The 25282-nt window shown below is 53.0% G+C and overlaps 2 pseudogenes across 1 annotated transcript, besides 10 other annotated features; one reads left to right on the plus strand and one right to left on the minus strand.

The window, feature by feature from the left end:
* Positions 39-8114, plus strand: ALG1L8P (ALG1 like 8, pseudogene; annotated as a pseudogene).
* Positions 3031-3738: an enhancer, noted in NCBI's record as "H3K27ac-H3K4me1 hESC enhancer chr11:67555733-67556440 (GRCh37/hg19 assembly coordinates)". NCBI's record gives its function as "activates a minimal SCP1, AML or CMV promoter by ChIP-STARR-seq in naive H9 embryonic stem cells {active_cell/tissue: H9 hESC(naive)}" and the evidence as "EXISTENCE:reporter gene assay evidence [ECO:0000049][PMID:30033119]".
* Positions 6380-7192: an enhancer, noted in NCBI's record as "H3K27ac-H3K4me1 hESC enhancer chr11:67559082-67559894 (GRCh37/hg19 assembly coordinates)". NCBI's record gives its function as "activates a minimal SCP1, AML or CMV promoter by ChIP-STARR-seq in primed H9 embryonic stem cells {active_cell/tissue: H9 hESC(primed)}" and the evidence as "EXISTENCE:reporter gene assay evidence [ECO:0000049][PMID:30033119]".
* Positions 6536-20105, minus strand: FAM86C2P (family with sequence similarity 86 member C2, pseudogene; annotated as a pseudogene). Its single transcript, NR_024249.1, has 4 exons — positions 19987-20105; positions 17771-17833; positions 11453-11602; positions 6536-8062 (listed from the first exon to the last, which is right to left on the minus strand). The product of NR_024249.1 is annotated as a family with sequence similarity 86 member C2, pseudogene (transcript).
* Positions 8006-8817: an enhancer, noted in NCBI's record as "H3K4me1 hESC enhancer chr11:67560708-67561519 (GRCh37/hg19 assembly coordinates)". NCBI's record gives its function as "activates a minimal SCP1, AML or CMV promoter by ChIP-STARR-seq in naive H9 embryonic stem cells {active_cell/tissue: H9 hESC(naive)}" and the evidence as "EXISTENCE:reporter gene assay evidence [ECO:0000049][PMID:30033119]".
* Positions 17763-18264: an enhancer, noted in NCBI's record as "H3K4me1 hESC enhancer chr11:67570465-67570966 (GRCh37/hg19 assembly coordinates)". NCBI's record gives its function as "activates a minimal SCP1, AML or CMV promoter by ChIP-STARR-seq in naive H9 embryonic stem cells {active_cell/tissue: H9 hESC(naive)}" and the evidence as "EXISTENCE:reporter gene assay evidence [ECO:0000049][PMID:30033119]".
* Positions 18265-18764: an enhancer, noted in NCBI's record as "H3K4me1 hESC enhancer chr11:67570967-67571466 (GRCh37/hg19 assembly coordinates)". NCBI's record gives its function as "activates a minimal SCP1, AML or CMV promoter by ChIP-STARR-seq in naive H9 embryonic stem cells {active_cell/tissue: H9 hESC(naive)}" and the evidence as "EXISTENCE:reporter gene assay evidence [ECO:0000049][PMID:30033119]".
* Positions 20150-20199: a silencer, noted in NCBI's record as "silent region_3650". NCBI's record gives its function as "represses an Ori minimal core promoter by ATAC-STARR-seq in GM12878 lymphoblastoid cells {active_cell/tissue: GM12878}" and the evidence as "EXISTENCE:reporter gene assay evidence [ECO:0000049][PMID:35858748]".
* Positions 20510-20819: a silencer, noted in NCBI's record as "silent region_3651". NCBI's record gives its function as "represses an Ori minimal core promoter by ATAC-STARR-seq in GM12878 lymphoblastoid cells {active_cell/tissue: GM12878}" and the evidence as "EXISTENCE:reporter gene assay evidence [ECO:0000049][PMID:35858748]".
* Positions 20510-21064: a biological region, named in NCBI's record as "H3K4me1 hESC enhancer GRCh37_chr11:67573265-67573766".
* Positions 20563-21064: an enhancer, noted in NCBI's record as "H3K4me1 hESC enhancer chr11:67573265-67573766 (GRCh37/hg19 assembly coordinates)". NCBI's record gives its function as "activates a minimal SCP1, AML or CMV promoter by ChIP-STARR-seq in naive H9 embryonic stem cells {active_cell/tissue: H9 hESC(naive)}" and the evidence as "EXISTENCE:reporter gene assay evidence [ECO:0000049][PMID:30033119]".
* Positions 21065-21564: an enhancer, noted in NCBI's record as "H3K4me1 hESC enhancer chr11:67573767-67574266 (GRCh37/hg19 assembly coordinates)". NCBI's record gives its function as "activates a minimal SCP1, AML or CMV promoter by ChIP-STARR-seq in naive H9 embryonic stem cells {active_cell/tissue: H9 hESC(naive)}" and the evidence as "EXISTENCE:reporter gene assay evidence [ECO:0000049][PMID:30033119]".

Below are 25282 nucleotides of genomic sequence, written 5' to 3' on the forward strand. Positions count from 1 at the left end.
TCTTCAGCCCTCCCAATAGTCCTGCCATGATTTCATTGCAGGGCTGTGACCATCTATGACAAGCCGGCATCTTTCTTTAAAGAGACACCTCTGGACCTGCAGCACCGGCTCTTCATGAAGCTGGGCGGCACGCACTCTCCGTTCAGGGCCCGGTAGGCCTCCCATCCTCAGCTGCCTTCTCTCCTGCTCACCACTGTCCTGGCCTCTCCCGTTCTCACTGCAGACCTGGGAACCCACTCATCCAGGGGTTGGCACACTAAGGCTACAGGCCAGTCTCCTGCTTTTGTAAGTCAAGTTTCATTGGGACACAACACACTCATTGCCTTCTGAGTTGTCTACAGCCGCCTTTGAGCTACAATAGCAGAATCGCGTTTTGCAACAGAGAACCCGTGGCCTGCAAAGCCTGAAGTATTTACTCTCTGGCCCTTTAAGAAATGTTTGTGGACCCCTGCGCTATCTTACTCTCCTGCCAGTGGGTTCCCAGGCCTGTGGCAGGATCTGTGGACCTGTGTGTCCCCTGGGGTGTCTCACGTGGTTAAGGAGGGGACCTTTGTGCAGATCCACACACCCTAAGCTGTGCCCCTGGGTAAGTTGGGGTGGTGTGGGAGGGAGTCCCTGCACCCTCATATTGAGTCCAGGGGATGATAAGACAGTAAGTCCCATGGAGAAAAGGAATGAGTCAGTCTTGTTTGCTGTTGTAACCTTAGCACCCAGCAACAATATTAGAGAAAGCAAGCCCAGGCCTCGGATGGCAGGGGTGGCCTGGTGCTGCTGATGTGGCCGGGCACCCCAACCTTTGGGAGCCTGCAGGCCTTGCCACGGCAGGAGATGCCCGTCCTGGGTCCTGGGCCTGCTCTGTGGCCTCTCACAGGCTTTTTTCCTGCTCTTTCAGTTCAGAACCTGAGGAACCAGCCACAGAGCCGTCGGCCTTCATGGAGTGGGATGCTGGGAGCGGGCTGGTGATGCTTCTCCGCGAGCAGCCAGCCCTGCTGGTCAGCAGCACAGGCTGGACAGGTCTGCACGACCCCTGAAACACTTGGGCTTGGTGTGACGGGCACCTGGCCAATCTGTGTTCTCACCCCTGCCAGTCCTGCATGCCCCCACCCCGCCACGGTCTCAATGAGAAGGGGAGGGTGTATGAGCTGGAAGAGGGGTGTCTAGAAACAAGCCCCTGACATTCAATTCTCTTCTCATAGAGGATGAAGACTTCTCCATCCTGCTGGCAGCTTTAGAAAGTAGGTGTGTAGCTGTGGTGAGGATCTCTGGGCTTGTTGGGGGCCACTGAGCTGTGAGCTGCTTGTCTGGCCTGCAGCATGTTCCTGTCCCGGGCCACTGGGCGGGGAAGCCTGGGGACAGTGGAGATGGTGGAGGTGGGCCGCCCTGAATCCCCAGTTGGGTCATTGAGTGACCAGGCCCTCAGGCTGAAATGCCTCCTCCAGGAGAGTATCTCACAGAGGCTGGTGGCCTCCCCACAAGAGCAGTGCTGTTTCTCCAACTGACCAGGTGACTCTGGCTATTGTATATTTAAAACTTTTTTTCTGAATGGGCATGGTGGCTCACACCTGTAATCCTAGAACTCTGGGAGGCCAAGGCAGGCAGATCACCTGAGGTCAGGAGTTTGAGGCCAACATGGCAAAACCTGTCTCTACTAAAAATACAAAAATTAGCTGGGTATGGTGGTGGGCGCCTGTAATCCCAGCTACTTGGGAGGCTGATGCATGAGAATTACTTGAACCTGGGAGGCAGAGGTTGCAGTGAGCTGAGATCATGCCACTGCATTCCAGCCTGGGTGACAGAGCAAGAGTCTGTCAGAAAAACAAAAAAGAAGAAATTCTATCAGAAATTCCATGTAGAATTGTTTCTTTTTTTAAACACAGAGTTTGAGCAACTGACTGTTGATGGACACAACCTTCCTTCTCTCGTCTGTGTGATAACAGGTACCGCCTGGGACCCTAGGTGTCTGTTTGGTTGGGGGATGGCGGAGGGGGAGGGGCACGCAGCCTTTACCCTGTGCTTCCCACGATCTTGTCTCCTTAATCTTCACTGCAGCTCTCTGCATAGGGTCTTATACTGCTTGACATGGGGGAAACTGAGGCTCAGAGGGTTTCACAGCAGGGCAGGGAGCCCAGATTTGAATCTGTAGATACAAAGCTTTCTACTTTTTCAGTAGTTTCCAAGCATCTTTTTGTTGTTGTTGTTACATCATTAGTGTCTTTTTTTCTTTTTTTTTTTTTTTGAGACAGTCTCTGTCACCCAGGCTGGGGTGCAGTGGTGTGATCTTGGCTCACTGCAACCTCCGCCTCTCACATTCAAGCAATTCTCATGCCTTAGCCTCCCGAGTAGCTGGGACTACAGGGGCCCACCACACCCAGCTAATTTTTGTATTTTTAGTAGAAACAGGATTTCACCATGTTGGCCAGGCTGGTCTTGAACTCCTGACCTCAGGTGATCCACCCACCTTGGCCTCCCAATATGCTCGAATTATAGGCACGAACCACTGTGCCTGACCATGTCATTGGTGCCTTAACCAAGCCTCTTTTAAGTTTTCAAACGGAAGAGCCCCTGTCCCACAGTTACTGCTGCTGAGCCCTTTCAAGGTGACTCAGTGAGGAGGGAGAAAAGCGGAAGTGGTGTGGGAAGAGGCGGGATCTGGGCCAGCTGCTGGTCCTGCTCTCCTCCCTCCTCTGGCCTCTAGGCTCCCAGGAGTGGTTTGGAACCCGCTCCATGTGCTCTGGAGGCTGTGGCTGGGCAGGGGCGGTTTGGAACCTGCGCCATGTGCTCTGGGGGCTGTGGCAGGGCAGGGGGAGTCCTCGTGTCCCCTGTGCACAACACAGACAAAAGGCTGGGTCCACCCAGTGGGCGGTCGCGTGCCAGGCCGGTGCTTACCCCGCCATGTTTGCAGCCCGAGGCCAGCTGGCTGCAAGAGCAGGGCTGTGCGTCAGGGGTCAGTGTGCACACACCACTGCAGGTCTCGGGGCTCCTGGGTTGCTTCTGGAAGGGCCCAGATGGGGCCTGACTGGAGCTGCCGAGGGGTGGATCTTCTGGGAAAGGGATCCCTCCTAGTGGGGAGTGTCTTGGGCCTGGGGCCACTTGGCAGGGTCAGAGACGGGTCCATGGCAGTATCTGCTCTTCTCTGTGAAGGCCAAGGGCCTCTGACGGAGTATTACAGCCGCCCCATCCACCAGAAGCATTTCCAGCACATCCAGGTCTGCAACCCTTGGCTGGAGGCCGAGGACTACCCCCTGCTTCTAGGTGAGAGGCCAGCAGGAGGCTCAGGGAGGAGGCGGGGCCTTAAGCAGGGGGAACAGATGTGGGCAGGATGTACTTTTTCTGAAAAGGTGGCTCTGGAGGCCACTTGGGGACAGGACCTGGGCTCTGGCTAACTCCCGGGAGGAGGCTACTTCCTGGTGTGCCAGCCCCTCCCTGCCAGGTGGCCCCAGAGGCCCTTTACCAAGGGGTTTGAGGAGGCCATGTCCTTTCAGCCTGCCACGCCCTCCATTCAGTCCTCTTCCTTCCTGCAGGAGGGCTGGGCCTGGGGTTGGGGCACTGTTGCCCAGGTGTGGGAGGGCAGTGGCTTTGGGAGGTACAGGGACGAGGTGTCAAACAGCGTTGCCTCTCCCAGTGAGATGGTTCTCCTTTGCCTCCGTCTCTTTCCCCGATTGATTTTTCCAAATGGGGAGTCGTGGCTTGGTCCTGATGCATCTCTAGAGCTGCATCTTCCAGCTTCGAGTGAGCAGAGCAGTTGAAGGCTGAGGGCCTTTTCCTGGCAGGACTCTCCAGGTAGTCTTTGTTTTAGACAGTCTCGCTCCATTGCCTAGGCTGGAGTGCACGATCTCAGTTCATGCAACCTCCGCCTCCTGGGTTCAAGCGATTCTCCCACCTCAGCCTCCCGAGTAGATTACAGGATTACAGGAGCCCGCCACAACACCTGGCTTATTTTTGTATTTTTAGTAGAAACAGGGTTTCACCATGTTGGTCAGGCTGGTCTTGAACTCCTGACCTCAAGTGATCCTCCCGCCTTGGCCCCCCTAAATGCTGGGATTCCAGGAGTGACCCATCATGCCTGGCCCCAGCTAGTCTTTAGAAATATTAAGCTGTTTCGCTTTATTTTCACACTGACAGCTGGTTTGTGGTGGGTGTGCTGTGGTTTATTATTATTATTATTATTATTATTATTATTATTATTATTATTATTTTGAGACGGAGTTTCGCTCTTGTAGCCCAGGCTGGAGTGCAATGGCATGATCTTGGCTCACTGCAACCTCCGCCTTCCCGGGTTCAAGCGATTCTCCTGCCTCAGCCTCCTGAGTAGCTGGGATTACAGGCACCTGCCACGATGCTTCGCTAATTTTGTATTTTTTTTAGTAGAGATGGGGTTTCACCATGTTGGCCAGGCTGGTCTTGAACTCCTGACCTCAGGTGATCCGCCCGCCTTGGGCTCCCAAAATGTTGGGATTACATGCGGGAGGTGAACCTGGGAGGTGGAGGTTGCAGTGAGCTGAGATTGTGCCACTGCACTCCAGCCTGGGTGACAGAGTGAGACTGTCTCAAAACAAAACAAAACAAAACAAAACAAAATAACAACAAAAAAACCAAATTGTGATTTAGTAGAAAAAGTGTCAACTTACATTTTCAGATGTCCCAGCCAGGCCGTGTGGCTGCTTGGCCGGCTTAAGCCACTTGTGCTTGGGGCTGTCGGGGGCCTTATCCGATTTTCACTCCCCTCGGGGGATGTTGTCTCACTGTGCTGGGAGGATTTGTGTTCCCAGGGCAGAGACCAGTGCTCTGACCCACCCCTCTTGCCTAGCAGGGTCGGTGGACCTGGGTGTCTGTCTGCACACATCCTCCAGTGGCCTGGACCTGCCCATGAAGGTGGTGGACATGTTCGGGTGCTGTTTGCCTGCGTGTGCTGTGAACTTCAAGTGGTAGGAGCAGAACCCGAATCTTTCTGGGGATAGCTTCACAGATCCACCGCTGAGGGGGAAGCAGTGTAGAGTGAGCTGCCCACAGTGAGGCCCTGCCCCTCGGTCAGTCCAGCACACACTGGAGGCCATGAGGAGGAGCCCTGCGGTTACTGTGGCTGGGCTGAGCCTCACTGAAGTAGTTGCTTCCATTTAGAGCTCATGTTATATTTAGGTTGGTACAAAAGTAATCACCGTTTTTGCCATTAAAGATGGCAATTACTTTTGCACCAACCTAATATGGAAAAAAAGCATGTTAAATACTAGAACTCCACTCGGGGCTTTTGCTCCTAGAGTAGAATTGGCGGGAATTGCCTGCAGGCTTACATGGTTTTCTTTGTTTCTTTCTCTCCCACCATGTCCCTTTTGGCCAAGCTCACGTGGTGGGTTTGAATCAGTTAAATGAGTGTCATGCTGTGGCCCCACTCTACCCAGCACAGACGTGTGTTTGGAAGGGCGGCGTTAGAGGAGATTCTAGAAGCAGTAGCCCCAGCACAAGCTGAGCCCTTGGCCCCTGCTCAGGAGCCGGCTCCTGGATGGGATCCAGGGATGTGAGCCCCTCCTGTGAGCTGAGCTCAGGGAATGTCGGGATCAAACCTGGTGCCCTAGAAAAGTCATCTTTTATGTGCTGAGCCAGTCCCCCGGGTGTTCCCTTTACTTGTTCCATGGCCATGGAGTTAAGAAAAACATGCAAAAATAATTCTTCAGTCCTTGAAGAGCATCCAGCACAGAAGGTACAAACCCCCCTTAAGGCTCCCTCTTCAAATCGGTTTGGCCATTTAGATGTGTACCCCCCTTTATACCCTTCAGATGCCAAATCTAAGAACCACCCCCCGGAAAACACACCCCCTGTTCCAACTCTCAGCCTGGCTTGAGCATGGGGTGGGAGGCTGAAGCCCAGGTGGGCACCCCAGGGGTCTGGTGTCTTCTCCAGGCAGCTCTCAGGCTCCCTTGGTTCTCTCTGCAGTTTACATGAGCTGGTGAAACATGAAGAAAATGGCCTGGTCTTTGAGGACTCAGAGGAACTGGCAGCTCAGCTGCAGGTAGCCACATCTGCCACCACGCGAGGGTGGAGAGGGTTCTGGAGACTGGCACTGAGCCATGCTCCCTGATCCCTGCTTCCCACAGCCAGGGTGGGACCATGTGGGGTCTGGCGGAAAAGCTAGGGAGAGAGCAGAAGTCACAGAGGCTGGCCTACTCTGCTGTCCCGTTTCGGTACAGTAGGCTCGGGAAAGTTAGGACACACCCCCACCTGCCCTCTGGATTTATGGAGCTGACACTCCACAAATGATGCTGGAGCCGGGTGGGCCGGGCTGCAGTTTCGGAAGTGATCAGGATCAGGTAGGTGCATGGGCAAAGGGAACTTCTGGGACCAGCCTTGAAAGATGGGTGGAATTCTGCAAAGGTTACTTGTTTCTTATTGCTAAAAGTAATACATCATTCTTGCCAACAGAATGATTGGCAGGATTTTCAGTAAAGGTCCAGGTCAGAAGTCATTTAGACTGTGTCTCCTAGTCTCTGTCAGAACCATGGTACTCTGTTGTGGTGTGAAAGTAGCCACAGATCATCTTCGATTAAGGGGTGTGGCTTTGTTCCAATAAAACTTTATTTACAAACACAGGCTGTGGGCTGGATTTGGCCTGCAGGCTGTAGTTTGTGATCCTTGATTCAGACAGTTTAGCAAGGCTGAAAAGAACACCAACACCCCCTTGTTACCCACAGATGGGTGGGACTTGGCCAGAGGCCAAGAGGAGGGTGCTCGCAGGGGAACATACAGCGTGTAGAGGCCGGGAGGTGCTCCAGGGCACGAAGTGTGGGAAAGTGGGACAGAAAGCGTGATGTCAAGTTGGAGGCGGAGCGCTGCTGGGGCGTGAAGAGTCTCGAGTCCAAGTGAGGGAGTTAGGAACTTGGGAGGGTTTGTTGTTGGGTCGGGGACCTGGGGTCAGCCAGGTGGTGACCTGGGATGGGGTGGGGACAGGAAATGAGTTAAGCTCTGCTCTTTATTTTTTTGCAGATGCTTTTCTCAAACTTTCCTGATCCTGCGGGCAAGCTAAACCAGTTCTGGAAGAACCTGCGGGAATCGCAGCAGCTCCGATGGGATGAGAGCTGGGTGCAGAGTGTGCTCCATTTGGTTATGGACACATAACTCCTGGGCCAGAGGCTAAAACCCCGGGACCCCTGCTGTCCTTCCCGCAGCTTCTTCTCGGAGTCTCAGGGCAAACCCTTTCGAGCAGCGCCTCCCAGTGGCCAGAAGGTGAAATGACGGCAGTGGTGCCGCCTGGTAAATGAATTGGTTCTGTGACCCGGGAAGCTGTGCTTGGCTCTGATTTCTTTTCTGGAGGCTCGGAAACACTTCCTATCTTCTTCTGTTCTTCACGCCCCATGCCCCTGCTAGCGGATTACTGTTCTGCGACTTCCGTGTGACCTCTGCAGTACTCCTCATCCTGCGTTTGCTCTCCAGGTGTCATCTTTCCGCCGTGTTCCTAACATTTTGATTCCTGTCTTGAAAAAAGCACCTGCTGCACTGTAAGCCCAGGGATGTGGCAGCTGCAGTGGGCTTGGCTTTGTGAAGAACCGAGTGTGTCCACGGATGTGGCAGCTGCAGCGGGCTTGGCTTTGTGAGGAACCGAATGTGTCCAGGGATGTGGCAGCTGCAGCGGGCTTGGCTTTGTGGGGAACCGAGTGTGTCCACATTGGGGGAACATCATACTTGATACACACGTTTTTATTTGCACAAAGAAAATGCTATTTTTGGAGCCAGAGATTTCATGTCTGATTGATGGCGATTTTCTTAAGAACCAGAACTGCTGGCAGAAAGGGAGCACCCACATGCTTAGATAGCTGATGTCTTATTAGAGGGCAGTTTGTGGTTCCTGATTTGGAAATTAACATTCTCCAAACATTCCAGTCCAATGAAAGTTTTATCCGCTTTCCCATATAAAAACTCTTCCCACTAGAGTGACTTGATTCTCACAATCCCGTTGGAGTCGTATGTGAGTCCTACAGTGTGAGGTTCAGCATTGCCATCTCCAAGTGCTCTTCGTAGGGAAACAGTTTCTGGTCATGACGAGGTTCCACTTCCCATCTGATCCCAGCCCGGCCTGGAAACAGAGGACATGTGTTTCAGGATGGCAGTGTTTGGGGACAGGACATGAGCGTATTGTGTGGGGCTGCTAGGACAGGCCTGGCGGGGTGGGGGGTGTGTCCAAGTCAGTTTACTTGGTTCACAGGTTCCCAGGCCCACCCAGGTGCCTAGAATTGGCCTCCAGGATGGGACAAGAAATCTGGTTTTGCATAGAAATGGCTAGCAGCAGGCACCGTGCCGCTGTCCACTCTCTGCCCGCATCTGCCCCAGCACTTGGCACAGCGGGACAGATGCAGAGATCTGAACCCACATCTACCTGGCTGCTCAGTCAACCCACTATTCACAAAGCTTAGAAAGCGTCCAGGCACAGTGGCTCACGCCTGTAATCCCAACACTTTGGGAGGCCAAGGCGGGTGGATCACTTGAGATCAGGAGTTCGAAACCAGCCTGGCCAACATGGTAAAACCTCATCTCTACAAAAATACAAAAATTAGGCAGGCACGATGGTGGGTGCCTGTAATCCCAGCTACTTGGGAGGCTGAGGCGGGAGAATTGCTTGAACCCAGGAGGCGGAGGTTGCAGTGAGCCGAGATTGTGCCACTGCACTTGAGCCTGAGTGACAGAGTGAGACTCCATCTCAAAAAAAAAAAAAAAAAAAAAATTACACACACACACACACGCACACACACAGCTTAGAAGGGGCTGGTGTTCTCATAAGCACAGATGTCTGAAGAGCCGTTAGCCAGAATGATTCTTTTTTTTTTTTTTTTTGAGATACGATCTTGTTCTGTCACCCAGGCTGGAGTGCAGTGGCACAGTCATTGCTCACTACAGCCTCGACTCCTGGGCTCTAGCAATCCTCCCACTTCCTGAGTAGCTGGGATGACAGGTGCGTGCCACCATGCTAGTAATTTTTTTATTTTGTAGAGATGGGGTCCTGAATGCATGGCCTCAAGTGATGGTCCTGCCTCAGCCTCATTTATTATTTTTTTTTAAACAGAGATTTACTCTGTTCCCAAGGCTGGAGTGCAGTGGTGCAATCTCAGCTCACTGCAATGCATCCCAGGTTCAAATGATTCTCCTGCCTCAGTCTCCCGAGCAGCTGGGATTATAGGCGTGCACCGCCACTCCTGGCTAATTTTTGTGTTTCTAGTAGAGATGGGGTTTCACCGTGTTGGCCAGGCTGGTCTTGAACTCTTGACCTCAAGTGATCCGCTCACCTCAGCCTCCCAAAGCCTCAGACTCTTACAGTGTTGGATTACAGGTGTGAAACACTGTGACCCGGGATGATTTTCAATCACAGCTTTTTGTTACGAGTGGAAAATGCATATTTATAAAAATGAAGTAGTACAGACATGAACGTGTAGAAGTCTCTATAATCCTGCCATCCAAGGATGGCACCTGTTAACGTGTATATCAGGGATGTCCAATCTTTTGGCCTCCCTGCACCACATTGGAAGGAGAAGAATCTCCTTGGGCCACACATAAAATACACTAATGCTAGCAATAGCTGATGAGCTAAAAGAAAAAAAAATCACAAAAAAACCTCGTACTGTTTTTAAGAAAGTTTACAGATTTGTGTTGGGCCGCAGCTTGGACGAGCCTGCTATATATATATTCTAGGTTATCCCCTATAGGTATACTTATGTGAAAATGATTATTGTGATAATTTGTTTTTGAGATGAAGTCTTGCTATGTTGCTCAAGGGGGCCACAAACTCCTGGGCTTAAGCCATCCTCCCACCTCAGCCTCCTGAGTAGTTGGGAATATAGGTACTCATAACTATGTGTGGGTGATTATTATTATTTTTTAAACAAAAATGGGGCTGGGTGCAGTAGCTCACGCCTGTAATCCTAACACTTTGGGAGCCTGAGGCAGCAGATCGCTTGAGGTCAGGAGTTCAAGACCAGCCTGGCCAACATGGCGAAACCTCGACTCTACAAAAAATACAAAAATTAGCCAGGCATGGTAGCACGCACCTGTATTCCCAGCTACTCAGGAGGCTGAGATGGGAGGATAGCTTGAACCTGGGAGGTGGGAGGTTGCAGTGGGCCGAGATGGCACCACTGCACTCCAGCCTGGGCTATACAAAGCCAGACTCTGTCTCAAAAAAAAAAAAAAAAAAAAAAGGTGGGTGGGGGCTTATACTATGTGTGCTGCTTGGCACTGTTTTTTTCACTTCAAAGATATTGCAGGTATTTTTTCACATAAGTATCTGAAGAAAGACTTCCTTTTTTTTTTTTTTTTTTTTTTTTGCCTTTTTAAGACAGGGTCTTGCTCTGTTGCCCAGGCTAGAGTGCAGTGGTGAGATCAGGGCTCACTGCAGCCTCCACCTCCTGGGCTCAAGCCATCCTCCCACCTCAGCCTCCCGAGTAGCTGGGACTACAGGTGCGCACAACCATGCCTGACTAGTTTCTGTATGTTTTGTGGAGATGGGGTCCCACTATATTGCCCAGGTAAGTCTTGAACTCCTGGTGTCAAGAAGTCCTCCTGCCTTAGCCTCCTAAAGTGCTGGGATGACAGGCCTGAGCCTCGCGCCCGGCCAGCCTCCTGTGCTAGGTTGTGCGGGACTCTGTCGTGGAACCCAGTGTGTCTTTGTGTGCTGGCTTGTTTGTTGGCTCTGTAGTTAACGGGCTGCTCCACGTGGACAGGCATTGGACCCGTGTCTCTGTGTGCAGGCAGAGGCTGCTGCACGTGCATCTGTGCACATGGCTGCCAGGAGGGGCTGTGCTCAGGGGGAGCTGGGGCAAAGGCTGGTGGCAATGAGGGGCTTGGGTGTAGTGTGGAGGCACGAGAGCCTGGTGGCCGGGCTGCAGCCTGTGGGAGCTCGGGGGTTGCTTGGCCTCTGTGTGTCCCAGTGTCTTTGTCGGTGGGATGGGACAATGATAGCACACTCTCACAGGTGCTGGGGGCTGACAAATGTCAGGTCTGAGGACAGTGGCTGGCCCACTACGGGGCCAGTTCCCCTTCTCTATAGTCACCCTGCTCGTCTTCCATCAACTGGGTGCTCAGGACAGTGGCGTGGTGGATCCGCCTGTACAGCCTGTGCTCCAGTGTCCTGCAGGCCACAGCTGTGTCCAGCCCTGACCCCGACTGCCCCTCCTGCCACCTCCATTTTATAGATGAGGAAACCGAGGCCCAAGGGCTTAGGGAACCTTGCTCTGAAGCACACAGTAGGGCTGCTGGGCTCAGATCCTCCCTCCCTGTGCTGAGCTGCCCTCCTCCTGCCACAAGGCCCCCACACCCCGAGCCCACATTTCTCACCGGCCTCTGCCCTAGTTCCCCACATGGTGTGGGAGTGTGGGGCTTCCTAGCTTTTCCCCGGCCCCCAGTTCTTTCACTTCCACTGGAGTCCCGCAGGGACAGCTTGGGGACCATGCAGGCCCGGGTGGGCGTGGGGGCTCACATAGCTCAGTGGTGAACAGCTGGCACGTCTCTGGGTTGCAGATGGTAAGGGCCACATAGACTTGAGGAGCCCGCTGGTGCTCCCGGCAGGCAGCCAGCCTCCGCAGGACCCCGACCAGCGACACGATGGCTTCTGGGCTATACAGCACGTCTACGGTGAAAGCTTCAGGTTACTGAAAGGGACCAGCGGACAGTTCCAGGTCATGCTGACCTCAGCAGCAGGGCGAGGCCAGAGAGGCAGCGGTCATATGAGACTAGTAGATGCCATTTGACCATTTGGGCCATTAGATGGAAAGGCAATTACTTGGGTGAAAAAGGAGAACCCTTAGTAGAGAAAGCTGCAAAAGACCGAAGCAAAAGAAAAAAATCTCCAGACTCACTGGTGTTCCTTAAAAAATGAGTTCTGGTTCTCGGCCTATCTAGAGGGCTGTGAATGACACAAAGCCTGATCCTGCCATGAACTTCGTGTTTCAGGCGTCTGCCAATTTGTCTGCTGGCTTGCAGGGGTGGGCCTGTGTCCCTGGCCACCGCTGGACCTGTGGTTTTCAGGGCTGGGACCCAGGACCACAGGCAGAGCTCTGTTCGACCAGAGAGGAGACTGAGTGTGCTGGCAGGGGCGAGGGGTTTTCGGTGGCCCAGCCAAACACCACCTTCTCTCAAGGGCCCTGTCCTCATCCCAGAAGTGGTTGTTTTCCTCCTGTGGTCTCTGAAAGACACAGTCATGACTCTGGGACAGAGCCATGTGGTGATGACTGTAACGGGAGTATGCCTGTCTCCAACAAAAGGGCTGTGGCTGGAAGGTCACCTTAAGAGACACCCCTGTCCTTTGACGTCACCCTGGAGGCCCAGAGTAACTCTTCTGGAAGCCCCATCATGTCCATGCCCGACAGTGTCCATTGTTCCCTTTTCCCAGAGCCAAGAGCTGGGTAGAGCTTCAAGGACACCGCCTGCACAGAGTGCCCGGGGCTGGGCATTACCTGCTGCAATGACAACATCTGGCTGGATTGCAGATTGCTGACGGACCGTCGCGACGTCCCAGTCCAGCTGGGCCACTGTCACCCTGGGGCTGTCTAAGTTGGCAGAGATATCTGCCTCTAATGAGAGGCCACTGAGAAGGACATTCCCTCAGAGCTTCTCAAGGACCCGGCTGTGACAGTCGCTGAAGATGTATGCCCAGGGGCGGCACATCTTGCAGATGGCCAGGCCTGTGAGGCCGGCGCCACTGCCAAGCTCTAGGACCATCCTGGTGGGAGGAAAGGGGACCATGTCTGCGACTGCACCAGGGTAAGCCTGCCTCGGTGCCCTGCCGTGCACCCCGAGGTCACCTATGAGAGAAGGCTGCCGGGTTCTCGATGGCCCATTCTGCAAGGTAGAGGGCAGCATCTCATGTGACCAGGCCTGTGATGCCGTGGGAGATGATGGCTGTGTTCTTGAAGAGTGTGACTGAGCCTCCTGAGGGCTGCACCAAGAGAGGGAGAGAGAGTCAGTCCAGCGATCAGAAGGCAAGTGGCTTAGAAGACAAGTAGCCATCCACCACATGGCTGAATAAACCATGACAGGACCAATCGCCACTCAGCAAAGAGAAGCAGCTAACTGTTGACATGCCAACAGCTTGCACAGGCCTCAAGGGTGTCACATGGCATGAAAGACACTCATCTCAGGCCACACAGGATTTCATTCATTGAACATTCCTGAAACAATGGAATTCTGGTGATGGAGCACAGGTCAGTTGTGGCCAGGGGCCGGGTGTGGCTATGAAGGGGTGGCTGCCTTGTGATGATTCAATATGCTATGTTTTTCCTTTGTGGTTTTCTGTATCTATGTTTTATCTTATTTTTTTTTTGAGCTCTGTTCCCCAGGCTGGAGTCAGTGGCACAATCTTGGCTCACTGCAACCTCTGCCTCCTGGGTTCAAGCAATTGTCCTGCCTCAGCCGCCTAATTAGGTGCAACTACAGGCATGTGCCACCATGTCTGGCTAATTTTTCTACTTTTTTTTGAGACAGAGTTTCACTCTTGTTGCCCAGGCAGGAGTGCATTGGCGTGATCTTGGCTCACCACAACCTCCACCTCCTGGGTTCAAGAGATTCTCCTGCCTCAGCCTCCCGAGTAGCTGGGATTAGAGGCACCCACTACCACACCCGCTAATTTTTGTATGTTTAGTAAAGACAGAGTTTCACCATGTTGGCCAGGCTGGTCTCAAACTCCTGACCTCCGGTGATCCACCTGCCTCAGCCTCCCAAAGTGCTGGGATTACAGGCATGAGCCACCACGCCCGGCCTAATTTTTGTATTTTTAGTAGAGACAGGGTTTCACCATATTGGCCAGGCTGGTCTTGAACTCCTGACCTCGGATCCACCCGCCTCAGCCTCCCAAAGTGCTGGGATTACAGGTGTGAGCCACCACACCCGGACCTGTCAAGTATTCTTTGAGGACTGGACACCAGGTCCTTGTGAAGCAGGTAGAGTGTGTCACCTATTGGACAAATGCCCAACAACCCCATGAGACATGCTGTTGTTGTTGAAGTGCTTGATTTACAGACAGGGAAACTGAGGCTAAAGAAGGTTGATGGACCTCATGTCTAAGACTGCAGACTGGGTGAGTCAGGATTTGAACCCACACCCACGTTTTCACTTTGTCTGTGCAGGAAGGGTATCTGGGCTGTGAGGGGGAGGAGGGTGTCCTTCTCATACCAGCAAATAGCTCCGGTGGCCCTGGGTGGACTCCTTGGCCATCAGGGTCTCCGCCAGCACCTCGTACAGCTCGTCCAAAGGCTCTGTGTGGACAGCCTCGTGCTGGGGGCAGACAGAGTGAGAGCTTGTTTGCTTTCGTTCTAATCTGTAAAAATGGTCAGATGATTTTCACCAAGTTTGGAGGGGAGATTTGGGATGGAATGGTGTAATACCGGCCAGCTGGCATATAAAACATTCACTTCATTGGGCTTGGTGGTGTGTGCCGAATAGTCCCAGCTACTCTAGAGGCTGACATGGGAGGACTGCTTGAGCCCAGGAGTTCGAGGACAGCCTGGGCAAGAGACCTTGTCTCTAAAAAAAAAAATTCACTTGGTAGGGAAACCTGGATGGGAGGGCCTTCAACGAGAGGTGTTGAGAGGGTAGTGTTAGGTGTAGTCTAAGGCAGGAGACAAGGATTCCGTGAGAGCTGCCACATGACCATGACAGAGAGGAGGAAAACCAAAGGTGCTTTTAAGTGAGCCCAGGCACAACTGTGAGGGCGGCCCATGCTGCAGGCTGTGGCTGTCAGCAGGCTGCTTCTCCACGGCTGGCCCCATCCTAAGATTCACAGGGCAGCAGCAAGATACACTGGGTGACTGCTGCCCTCTCCTGGTGGCACAGGGCAGACCTGCTGGTGACCACAGATGCACCCTTTTGGGGAGGATTAGGGAGAAAGCAGGTATTGGAGAAGCAGGGGATTGTTTACTTGCTAAAATTGTGGCCCTTTCACTCAGCAGGTCTGCTACTGCCTACTGAGCAACAGCCTCTCGACATCCTTATGTCAAACCCTGCATGTTCGGGCCCATCTTTAAAATCCATCCTAGGCCAGGTGCGGTGGCTCATGCCTCTAATCCCAGCACATTGGGAGGCCGAGGCAGGTGGATCACCTGAGGTCAGGAGTTCGAGACCAGCCTGGCCAACATGGTGAAACTCTGTCTCTACTAAAAATACAAAAATTAGCCAGGCATGGTGGCGTGTGCCTGTAGTCCCAGCTTCTTAGGAGGCTAGGCATGAGAGTTGCTTGAACCCAGGAGGCAGAGGTTTCAGGGAGCCGAGACTGTGCCACGGTAATCCAGCCTGGGCAACACAGTGAGACCCTGTCTCAAAAAAATAAATAAGTAAAAAATAAAATCCATCCTGTATCAGTCAGGAAAGAGCACATTCCAGCAGGATCAATGCCGAGAATTCACCAGAGGAACTAGTTCCAAAGTTATGGCAAGAGCTAAACCTTCCAACAGGGGCCCGTGGGGCAACCCAGAGACGGACAAGAGCAGGAAACTCCAAACCCTTCGGCAGGCAGGACAGAGGGTGTGGGTGCAGGTTCCAGTGCTGTGGGCTGGGCTAGCCTGGTAGGAATGAGAATCCATATGCTAGGAGCTGGGGCCCCAGAGAAGCAGCTGCGGCGGAAACCCCAGGAGGCAGAGTGAGGGAGAGACGCTGGCCTCCCCTTCTTCCCGCCCTGCATTGTCTCCCATGGGTCACACGCGGCTGCAGCCAGTTGCCTGGTTAGGCCCCTGCCATGCTGGGGTTTGCAAAGCAGGCCCAGGGCCTGGGAAGGATGGGGGCTCCAGCACGCAGGTGGCTATGCTGTCCAGCTACTGGGCGGACACTGCCCATAACTGACCTTTTTGATGAGTTCTGAGAGAAAGCACCAGGCATACTTGACTGATGGCCGGTGCTTCACACACACAGGATGCTTCACAGTCTACCGCAAAGGACAGAACTTTGGTTGCTCAAGAGCCTGTCTTAAGTCTCCTATGAGCTTCAAGCCAACACGGCAGAGGGCAAACTCCAGGCTACCCGATCCCTCAGCAAAGATGTAGATGGACACAGCGTTCTGGCCCCATGCATCTGAAGTTTGTCTTATGATATAAGCCATTTCCTAAAAATGCTTCCACTGCAGTGTCACAGGCTATGGCAGCATTTCTAATGCCCATTCTGAGCAAGAACGCAGGGCACGTGGGCCCAAACCACCTCCCTCCCAGGGGAGCCAGTGTGAACCAGGGTTTGCAGTAAAGACAGTCGCCAACTGTCTGGCTCTATGGAAGAGGAGGGAAGGCCCACTTGGCAACTGCTCTCTTGCAGCGTGTGTTCCTGGGGATGGGATGGAGGGGAGGGGACGCTCTGGGTGACACTCCAGCTAAAGCCGAGAGAAACCAAGTGCAGGACGAGCAAGTTCCAGACAGTGGCAACAGGTGATGCAAGCTCTGAGGTGGCCATGTCCTGGCACTTGGAAAGGAGGGCAGAGGGACTGGTGCAGCAGGAGTGGGGATGGTGGGAAAACAGGAGCCTGGAGGGAGAGGGAGGAGACAGTCTGCAGTGCCTGCTGGCTGGGAGGGATGCAGATTCTGCCCAAGGGCAGCAAAGTACCCCACGCAATACACAGGCTCTTCATGCTCGTGCTGGTTTTTCATTTTTTCTGACACAGTCTCGCTCTGTTGCCCAGGCTGGAGTGCAGTGGCCCGATCTTGGCTCACCACAGCCTCTGCCTCCTGGGTTCAAGCGATTCTCCTGCCTCAGCCTCCTGAGTAGCTGGTACTATAGGCGTGCACCACTACGCCCAGCTAATTTTTGTATTTTTAGTAGAGATGGGTTTTTGCCATGTTGGCTAGGCCGGTCTTGAACTCCTGACCTTAGGTGATCCATCCACCTCAGCTTCCCAAAGTCCTGGGATTACAGGTGTGAGCCAGTGCGCCCAGCCTTCTGCTGGGTTTTAAAGCAGCTATCCCTACATTTCATGCTTCACCACCTACGAGAGTGAGGCTCAGGGTGAAACTCAGAGCAGGGTGCGAGATAACTTCAGGTATCTCCATGCTCGAAGCCCTGACCTACTGCATTGCCCCAAAAGTCTTCCCTGCTGTGGCTGCATCTTTTCCACATGGATAATCTTGGTTCACCTCTAGCACAGGAATTCTTCACTGGGGATCCTAGGATGGGCTGGGTGGGTGGGGGTGGAGGATGTCTGCCTCGAGTTTGTATGGAAAATGTATTCTTCTGGTGCACTTCTTTCTGGGAGGGAGTCTATTGCTTTCTCTTTTCAGAAGGACTCATGGCCCTTCGAAGGTGAAGACCCAGGATGCAGGGTGATCTGCACTTGGCCCTCAAGGCCAAGGTCAGGCTGTGGCTGGGCCGGGTGGTGATCCTGCCTCTCACCTGCATGCAGATGCTCTTGAGTCCAAACCCCACCCTGGGCAAAGTAAGGGCCCATTTAGGTCTAGAAGAGACAGGAGTGGGCAGGACAGGCCTCATGAATGCAAAAAAGAAAGTCTCTGAACATCTACCAAATTCTAGAAGCTGTTTTGCACCTGTCATCTCTGTTTTTGCTGTGGATGGTTTAAAAACTTTCCCTAGATTCCCCCCTCTCATGCAGATTTTTGTATATTCTGATGTCTTTGTCTAAGTCTTAGAAAATGAAAGAGCTGGAGCTGTCGGAGGTGACGACACCCACCTGCAGTGCTGACTCAATGGTTTTGTTCTTTGAACAGGGGTGTTTTTAAAGGGTACAAGCACACCTGTGCTTCTTCTCTCAGGTCTTCCGGAGAGATTCAGGAGGCAGGGTCATGAGTCCCAGGGACTCTGGAATTCTTACCTTCTGCAAAATATCCCGCAGCAGCTCAGAATCTGATGAGTCTCTTAACTTTGCTTCTAAGCTCTGTGTGGAGGGGAGAGAGAGAAATCTCAAGGGTGCATTCACAGGAACATTAAGCACGCAATAGAATGTGTTGGCAAAGCGCTGTGTGATCTCTCCCCGGGGACGTGGAGCCAGTTGGAAGTGGAAGCCACAGCAGCTGAAAGCCTGACCTTCAGATGTTGCAGGGTGCACCTGGATGAGTCACAGGAAGAAGGCTAGAAGACTGACTCTTGGCCGCATTAGTCCTGGCTACTTAGCGGCCACCCGGGTCATGGGCCAGCTCCCTGGTTGCACTTGTCAGCCAGGATTGCACTGGTTACCAGGGCAGCCATGGCACCAAGGTTTGATGGGCTTGCCATCTGAGTTTAAGTGGAAATGCAGAATGTTCCCATACCAGCCTGGGTTACATTGTCCTCTTACAGGGGCCTCAAGCCCAGCAGCGAACTTTGGCTCCCGAATTAGGTAGACTGTCTCGGCTGGTATGTGACACAGGGCAAGGCACTTCATTGCTTCAGAGCTCCTTCCATGCCGTAAAAGGTCCTACAAGACCTGGTCCTAATCCCTCTCTCTGGCCTGTTCTCCCTCGCCCCTGGCCCACCCTGCTCACTCCACTCCAGCCACACTGGCTGCCTTGCTGTTGTTCCTCAACAACAGCTGGCTTGTTTCCACCACAGGACGTTTGCATATCCTGTTCCCCAAGCCCTTCCCATGGCTGGCTGCTTCACCACTCAGGCCCCATTTCAAATGCCACCTCTTTGGGGAAGGCTTCCCTGATTCCCCGACTTTGGTGACTCTTCTCCCCAGTTGCTCCATTCACCATTTCCCTGTTTTATTGGCTTTAAAGCCACTCTCATCTGGTCTTTTCTTGTTTCTTCATTTATTTGTTTATTCTCTGGCTCTCCCATGCAAGCAGAGCCTCATCTGTCATAGGTACTGCTGATCCATGGTGCCTGGCTCACGGAAGGCATTTATTAAACATTTTGAGACTGAATAAAAACACTAGCTAACACCAACATGCATTTACCATGAGCCAGGCACTGATCCACAGGCTTTTGTACTCAACCCTGACAACAACCCTAAGAGGTAGGTATCATTATATCCCCCATTTTATTAATAAGAAAACAACAGCACAGAGAGATGCACTTGCCCAAGGTCACACAGGGCCAGGGGTTGGGCCAGGATTCGAAGCAGGCAGGCTGTCTCCTGGGTCTGAACTCTCAACTACTGCACCTAATCAAACAATCCCTCTGGTCAAATGTGAGTGATGATAATAGTACCCACCTCGTGGGTGTTGAGGGTGAGCCCAAGTTAGCTTTCAGCGTGGCATGTGAACAATTATAGTCAATATTGAATGGAGACCTATGATGCTTTTATGAAGGTTTCTATTTTGGGTTAAAAATGCACAAATTTCTCCTGACCAGAAATGATCTCTGAGTGCTAAATATTTCATGTCAATGGAATAGCGCAAATGATTAAGCAACACCCCATAAAATGGGGCAGACCCAGGGAGGAATATATATCCAAACTGACTCATCCCAGTGAGCTCACCGCACATGGATTACAAATGGGGCCGGGTGCATTAAGCCCCTCTACTGGCAGAAGGGAGGCTGCTGCCTGCCATGCGCCTGTGCTGAGAATGGCAGGTCCCCAGGGAGACGAGAGGCCACCCCCTTCTCTGTCTCTTCCATCACAGGCGTGAGAGCCTCAGAGCATGAGCCAATTCTGTGCAGTGCTCGACATACAGATGAGAACACTGAGGCACGAGGGACAGCCTGTGACCTGGTCACCACGCTCAGGAGGACGTGGTTACCCGCGGTCCTGAGGGCGCTGACTTTTTAGAATGGGCGAGGGCAGCTCTGTCCCAGTGACCAGAACGGTTACTGCCTTTAAAAAGTCGTGAAAATGATAGTGAACTGTACCCCACAACGAGTGCGCCTCTGCCCCCCAAGATGGTGGAGAGGCCCCCAGCTTACGCCGCCAGCACGCGGGGCAGGAGGGGTGCGAGCGACTCTGGCCAGGCCCCAGGGACGGGAAACGGGTCGCGCGGACCTGACCGGCGGGAGCCCAGGCACTCACGTGGCGTGAGCGCCGGGGGCTTCAGCACAGAGACCCATCCCATCTGCCCCTGGACTCCCGCGAGCCCCGCGGGCCTCTCCGCTCGCCCCGCCGCCCACCTGCCAGGGGAAGGAGCGCAGTGCACGCGCCGCCAGGAAGCGGCGCTCCAAACTCTGCAGCAAGAGTTCGGTCCCCGCGTTCTCCTCGGGCGCCATGACGTGGGCGGGGCCGCAGCGTTGCCCGGAGACCGGGCGGAAGCCAGGCCTGGACTGAAGAGGGGGCGGGCCCAGGGCAGTGGGCGGGGGCAGAGAGGGGGCGGGGCCTGGGGGTAGGGTGAGGAGGAGAGTCGTGGGGGCGGCTCTAGGGCGGGGCCAGGATGAGCGTTATGAGGCGGGACCTGGGGTGGGGCCAGGATGAGCGTCATGAGGGCGAGGCCTGGGGTAGGGCCAGGATAAGCGTCGTTGGGGCAGGTCCTGGGGAGAGTTCTGGTTGGCGGGTCCTGGGGCGGGGCCAGGACAGGGCGATCCTGGAAGCGGGGCTTCGGAAGCGTCCAGGTTGGAGGCGTCCTGGAGTCGGGGCCTTGCGTGGGGGCAGGATAAGGGTCCTGGAGGCGGGGCGTTAGGGTGGGGGTAAACGATGATTGGGTTCAGGAGGCGAGACTCGGAGCAGAGCCCAGGAGACAGGTCTTAGGGCGGGGCTAAGGGCAGACCCGGAGAAGGGCTCAGGAGGCGGGGCCAGGGCGGGGCGTTGACTATGTCGTAGCACGTGGCCAGGCGCTGCTCGGACTCTGGGAGGCGGAGCTTAGGACGGGCCGACATGGGGAGGGGCCCAGGGTCCGGGAGGCGGGGCAGAGTCCGGGCTGCGGGCTGCGCTCAGGAGGCGGGCCCTGGGAGGCGGAGCTTAGGGAGGGGCAGGTGTCGGTAGGGACCAAGGGACTGGGAGGCGGGTCGGGGCTGGGCTCAGGGGCCGAGAGGGAGCTGGGCTTGGGGTGGGGCCGAGACGGAGCGAGGGGTCCAGGGTGTGAGAAACGGGGAGGGGTTTGAGGAGGGGTTTGGAGTGTGGCTCAAGTTCGGGAGGCGTTACCTGCGGAGGGTTTGAGGCAGGCCCAGGAGCGAGCCCACGGTCTGCCGAAGCGGGGCCAGGGGCGGGCCCCAGGATCCGGAGCTTTGGGCGGGGCCGAGTCCGGGTTAGGGGCCCGGGAGGCGGGGCCGGTTAGGGCGAGGGTCCCCGGGATCGTCGGGTCAGGCCTTGGGCCAACGTAGGCACTCTCGCAGTTCCTCCGCCTTCAGGAAGGTCTTTTTGGCAGGGGCCTTAGGGGTGCGCGCTTCTGTCCTGGAGGCGTTATCCTAGCCTCCTCTCCATCAGCGCCACACATCTGGAGCCCGATAGGAAGGAGCTTTCCCTCTGTCCCCCAGCCTTTGGACTGTCACCAAACAAGCCATCCGTTCACCAAATACTTATGAAGCTCCTACCATGTGTCTGGCAAGGGAGATGTAACAGTGAGAAAAACTAGGTGTGGTCCAGGCCCTCCAGGGGCTCAGGGGGTCGTGGAAGAAGTGGACATTGAAGTACTTATCACACAAATGAGTATAAAAGTACAATAGCGATATCTGCCACGAAGGCGAGCAGACAGAGCTAGCGGGGCTTCCAGGAGGAGTTTTAATCTTGCAGGGACAGGAAGGAGGAGTTAGCTCCTGGGGGGCGGAATTGGGGGTGGTGGTGATATAGACGTGGGGACAGAGTGGAAAACAACAAAAATATAATTATTTTAGTTCAAAGTTATTGTGTCTTGAGTTGAACGTGTCTTTAGTTCAAAGTTATTGTGTGTTGAGATTTCAGTACTGCCCCTGAAATCTGAACTGTGTTCAAAGTCTAAAACGTTTACCTTAGCAAATCCCTCATAAAACTCCATTTGGAAGAGTCCCGAGAGCTAATTTGTTCAGTATACTTGCAGAAGGTAGATGAGGAGACAGATTAAATCTTATTACCTCTTTCAGATGAGAGGCACTTGAGTCCTGCTCAGCTGTGAGAATAAGAGAGGGGGATTAATTCTAATTGAATACACGTGTTCTCTCACAGCTGTTGTTCCCCACCAGAACCAAATGAGCGCAAGATCTGACAAAGAAAAAAAAAAGGTTCATCTTTTATTCCCCCAAACACTTTCATTTAAATCAAGAGGGTGGGATGTGGTTATTGCTGTGTTTTTAGACAGAATCAACAGTTTCTGGGTCTGAGATATTGCATACACCCTCTCAGTCCCTGTATCCTGAGATGGAGTCACCTGAGAATCCACAGCAAGTCGTAACCAGAGATGGGTCTGGGTGGTTAAGGAAGCTTGGCTTCAGAACTGGGCCAGGGGCACTGCTTTGCTTTTGTGGTTTTGATCAGCTCTCTGCCTGCAGGAGACAAGGAAAACCAACGGGAACAGGTTAGTTACACTCATAAATCCTGGGCTTATTTTATTAACTCACATAATAGCTATTAATTACCTTTCCTCCAAGGAGCAAAAGGGCATATACGGTCAATGCTATGATAAGTAACACTGTATTATGTTATACTAAAATATTAATAAATCTAGGTTGGTTCAGTCTTTCCTAATTCCATAGGTTGCAAGCGGATTGAGGAAGGACCCTAGCGGACCACAGAGCTGAGCCATGCATGCAGAAGAAATCTTTTCTTTTGTTTTCTTTTTGAGACGGAGTTTTGCTCTCTTGTTGCCCAGGCTGGAGTGCAATGGCGCGATCTCGGCTCACTGCAACCTCCACCTCCCAGGTTCAAGCGATTCTCCTGCCTCAGCCTCCCGAGTAGCTGGGATTACAGGTGTGAGCCACCATGCCGAGCCATTTTTGTTATTTTTAGTGGAGACAGGGTTTGAACACGTTGGCCAGGCTGGTCTCAAATTCCTGACCTCAGGTGATCCGCCCGCCTCTGCCTCCCAAAGTGCTGGGATTACAGGCGTGAACCACCGCGCCCGGCCAGAAGAAATCTTTATCTTGGTGTTTGAACTCGGATGAGGGACAAATGTCATCTATCTTGGATCTGAATCTGGAAGGATCAAGGCACTGAAGGGATTTATTTGTTTCAGACAGTCTCCCTCTGTTGCCAGGCTGGAGTGCAGTGGTGTGATCTCGGCTCCTGCAACTTCTGCCTCCCGGGCTCAAGCGATTCTCCTGCCTCAACCTCCCGAGTAGCTGGAACTACAGGCACGCATCACCACGCCCAGCTAATTTTTGTATTTTTAGTAGAGACAGGGTTTCACCATGTTGGCCAGGAGTGTCTCAATCTCTTGACCTCACGATCCATCTGCCTTGGCCTCCCAAAGGGCTGGGATTACAGGCGTGAGCCACCATGCCCGGCCTCACTGAAGGGATTTTTTTAATGTCACGTGGCTCTCACAGGTGCAGTGTGTTCGGGTGCAAGTGAAGATTAGGACTGATGCTTAAAATCAAACGTAAAATTCCAGGTGGTGTTGCTATGGGGAACAGCATTAGGACAATCTGAGTGGTTTCAGTTGCAAGAGTGTGCGTGTACGTGCAAGAACTACAGTCAAGGTTCAACTTCTAGCTTTGAGGGTCTCTTTAATAACAGCAATAACAACCTAAGTCAGTTTAACAGTATGGAATGGTTGCCTTTTAGAAATTAAGCTATGGGCATGGAAGTTCAATCAGTACATTGAAGTTTTTCCTTTATCTCTCCTATGGTTAATGGTTTCTGCAGAAAAGCACCAATTGATATCTTTCTAAAACGTTGCTTCAGGGTGTAGAGACCTTTATAAGTCATGTTTCAACTTACAGAAAATTTTATAGTTCAAATATAAATTATGTTCAATGTGGACATTGTAATAGAATTTAAGGTTAAGTAAAATTTCCACTTTCCTTAGGCTGTTTGCAGTGCCCAGCAGGCCCCATGATATCGAGATGGAAGTTATGTTAAAGGAGGAGATTGGTCATGGATGGGCAGAATAAGGAATATGGGCAGCTCAGGCTAATGATACAATGATTGAGGTGTAGAAAGAGGGCCAGGCACGGGATAATGCCTGTAATCTCAGTGCTTTGGAAGGCCAAGGCAAGAGGATCACTTGAGGTCAGGAGACCAGCCTGGTCAACAGAGTGAGACCTAATCTGTACAAAAAAAAAAAAATTAGTTGGGCATGGTGGTGTGCGCCTGTAGTCTCAGCCACTTGGAAGGCTGAGGTCAGGGTATCCCTTGAGCCCAGGAGTTTGAGGCTGTGAGTTATAATCACATAACTGTACTCCAGCCTGGGTGATAGGATGAGGCTCTGACTTAAAAAAAATTGAGTCAGGGAAAAAATTGGAAATCTTAATCCTCCGTACCCAGGAATGTGACCTTATTTGGAAATAGGGTATTTGTAGATGTAATTAAGTAATGATGAGTCATACTGGATTGGGGGCTGCTGGTGAGGAGGCAGATGCAATGATTGGTGTCCTTATAAAAGGAGAGAATGAGGGCCAGGCATGGTGGCTCATGCCTGTAATCTCAGCACACCTTGGGAGGGTGAGGTGGGCGGATCACTTGAGGTCAGGAGTTTGAGACCAGCCTGGCCAACATGGTGAAACTCCATCTCTACTAACAACACAAAATTAGCACTGAGTGGTGGCGGGTGCCTGTAATCCCAGCTACTCAGGAGGCTGAGGTGGAAGAATCACCGGAACCTAGGAGGCGGAGGTTGCAGTGAGCCAAGATTGTGCCACTGCACTTCAGCCTGGGTGACAGAGGGAAACTCCATCTCAAAAAAATAAAATAATAGAGGAGAATGTCAGGTGAAGACAGAGACACAAGGAGAAGGCAGCCATGTGATGAGGGAGGAGAGATTGGAGCGATGCATCTACAAGGAACACCAAGCATTGCCAGCGGCCACCAGAAGCCAGAATAGGCAAGGAAGTATTCTCTCTTACATGTTTCAGAGGAAGCGAAGCCCGGGCGGCACCTTGATTTTGGGCTTCTAGCATCCAGGCCTGTGAGACAATACATTTCTGTTGTTTTCAGCCACATGCGGGGCCCTCGTTGTTGTTGTGGTTTTTTTTTTTTTTTTTTGGAGATGGAGTTTCACTCTTGTGCCCCAGGCCGGAGTACAATGGCGCGACCTGGGCTCTCTGCAACCTCCTCCTCCCAGGTTCAAGCTATTCTCCTGCCTCAGCTTCCTGAGTAGCTGGGATTACAGGCATGCGCCACCTTGTCCAGCTAATTTTTATATTTTTAGTAGAGATGGGGTTTCACCATGTTGGCCGGGCTGGTCTCAAAATCCTGATCTCAAGTGATCCGCCTGCCTCAGCCTCCCAAAGTGCTGGGATTACAGGCATGAGCCACCGTGCCCGGTCTTGTGGTTATTTTTTTAGACAAGATCCCGCTGTGTCATCCTGGCTGGAGTGTAGTGGTACAATCTCAGCTCCTGCA

This window comes from Homo sapiens, chromosome 11 (genome assembly GCF_000001405.40).
Source record: "Homo sapiens chromosome 11, GRCh38.p14 Primary Assembly".
Lineage (NCBI taxonomy): Eukaryota > Metazoa > Chordata > Mammalia > Primates > Hominidae > Homo > Homo sapiens.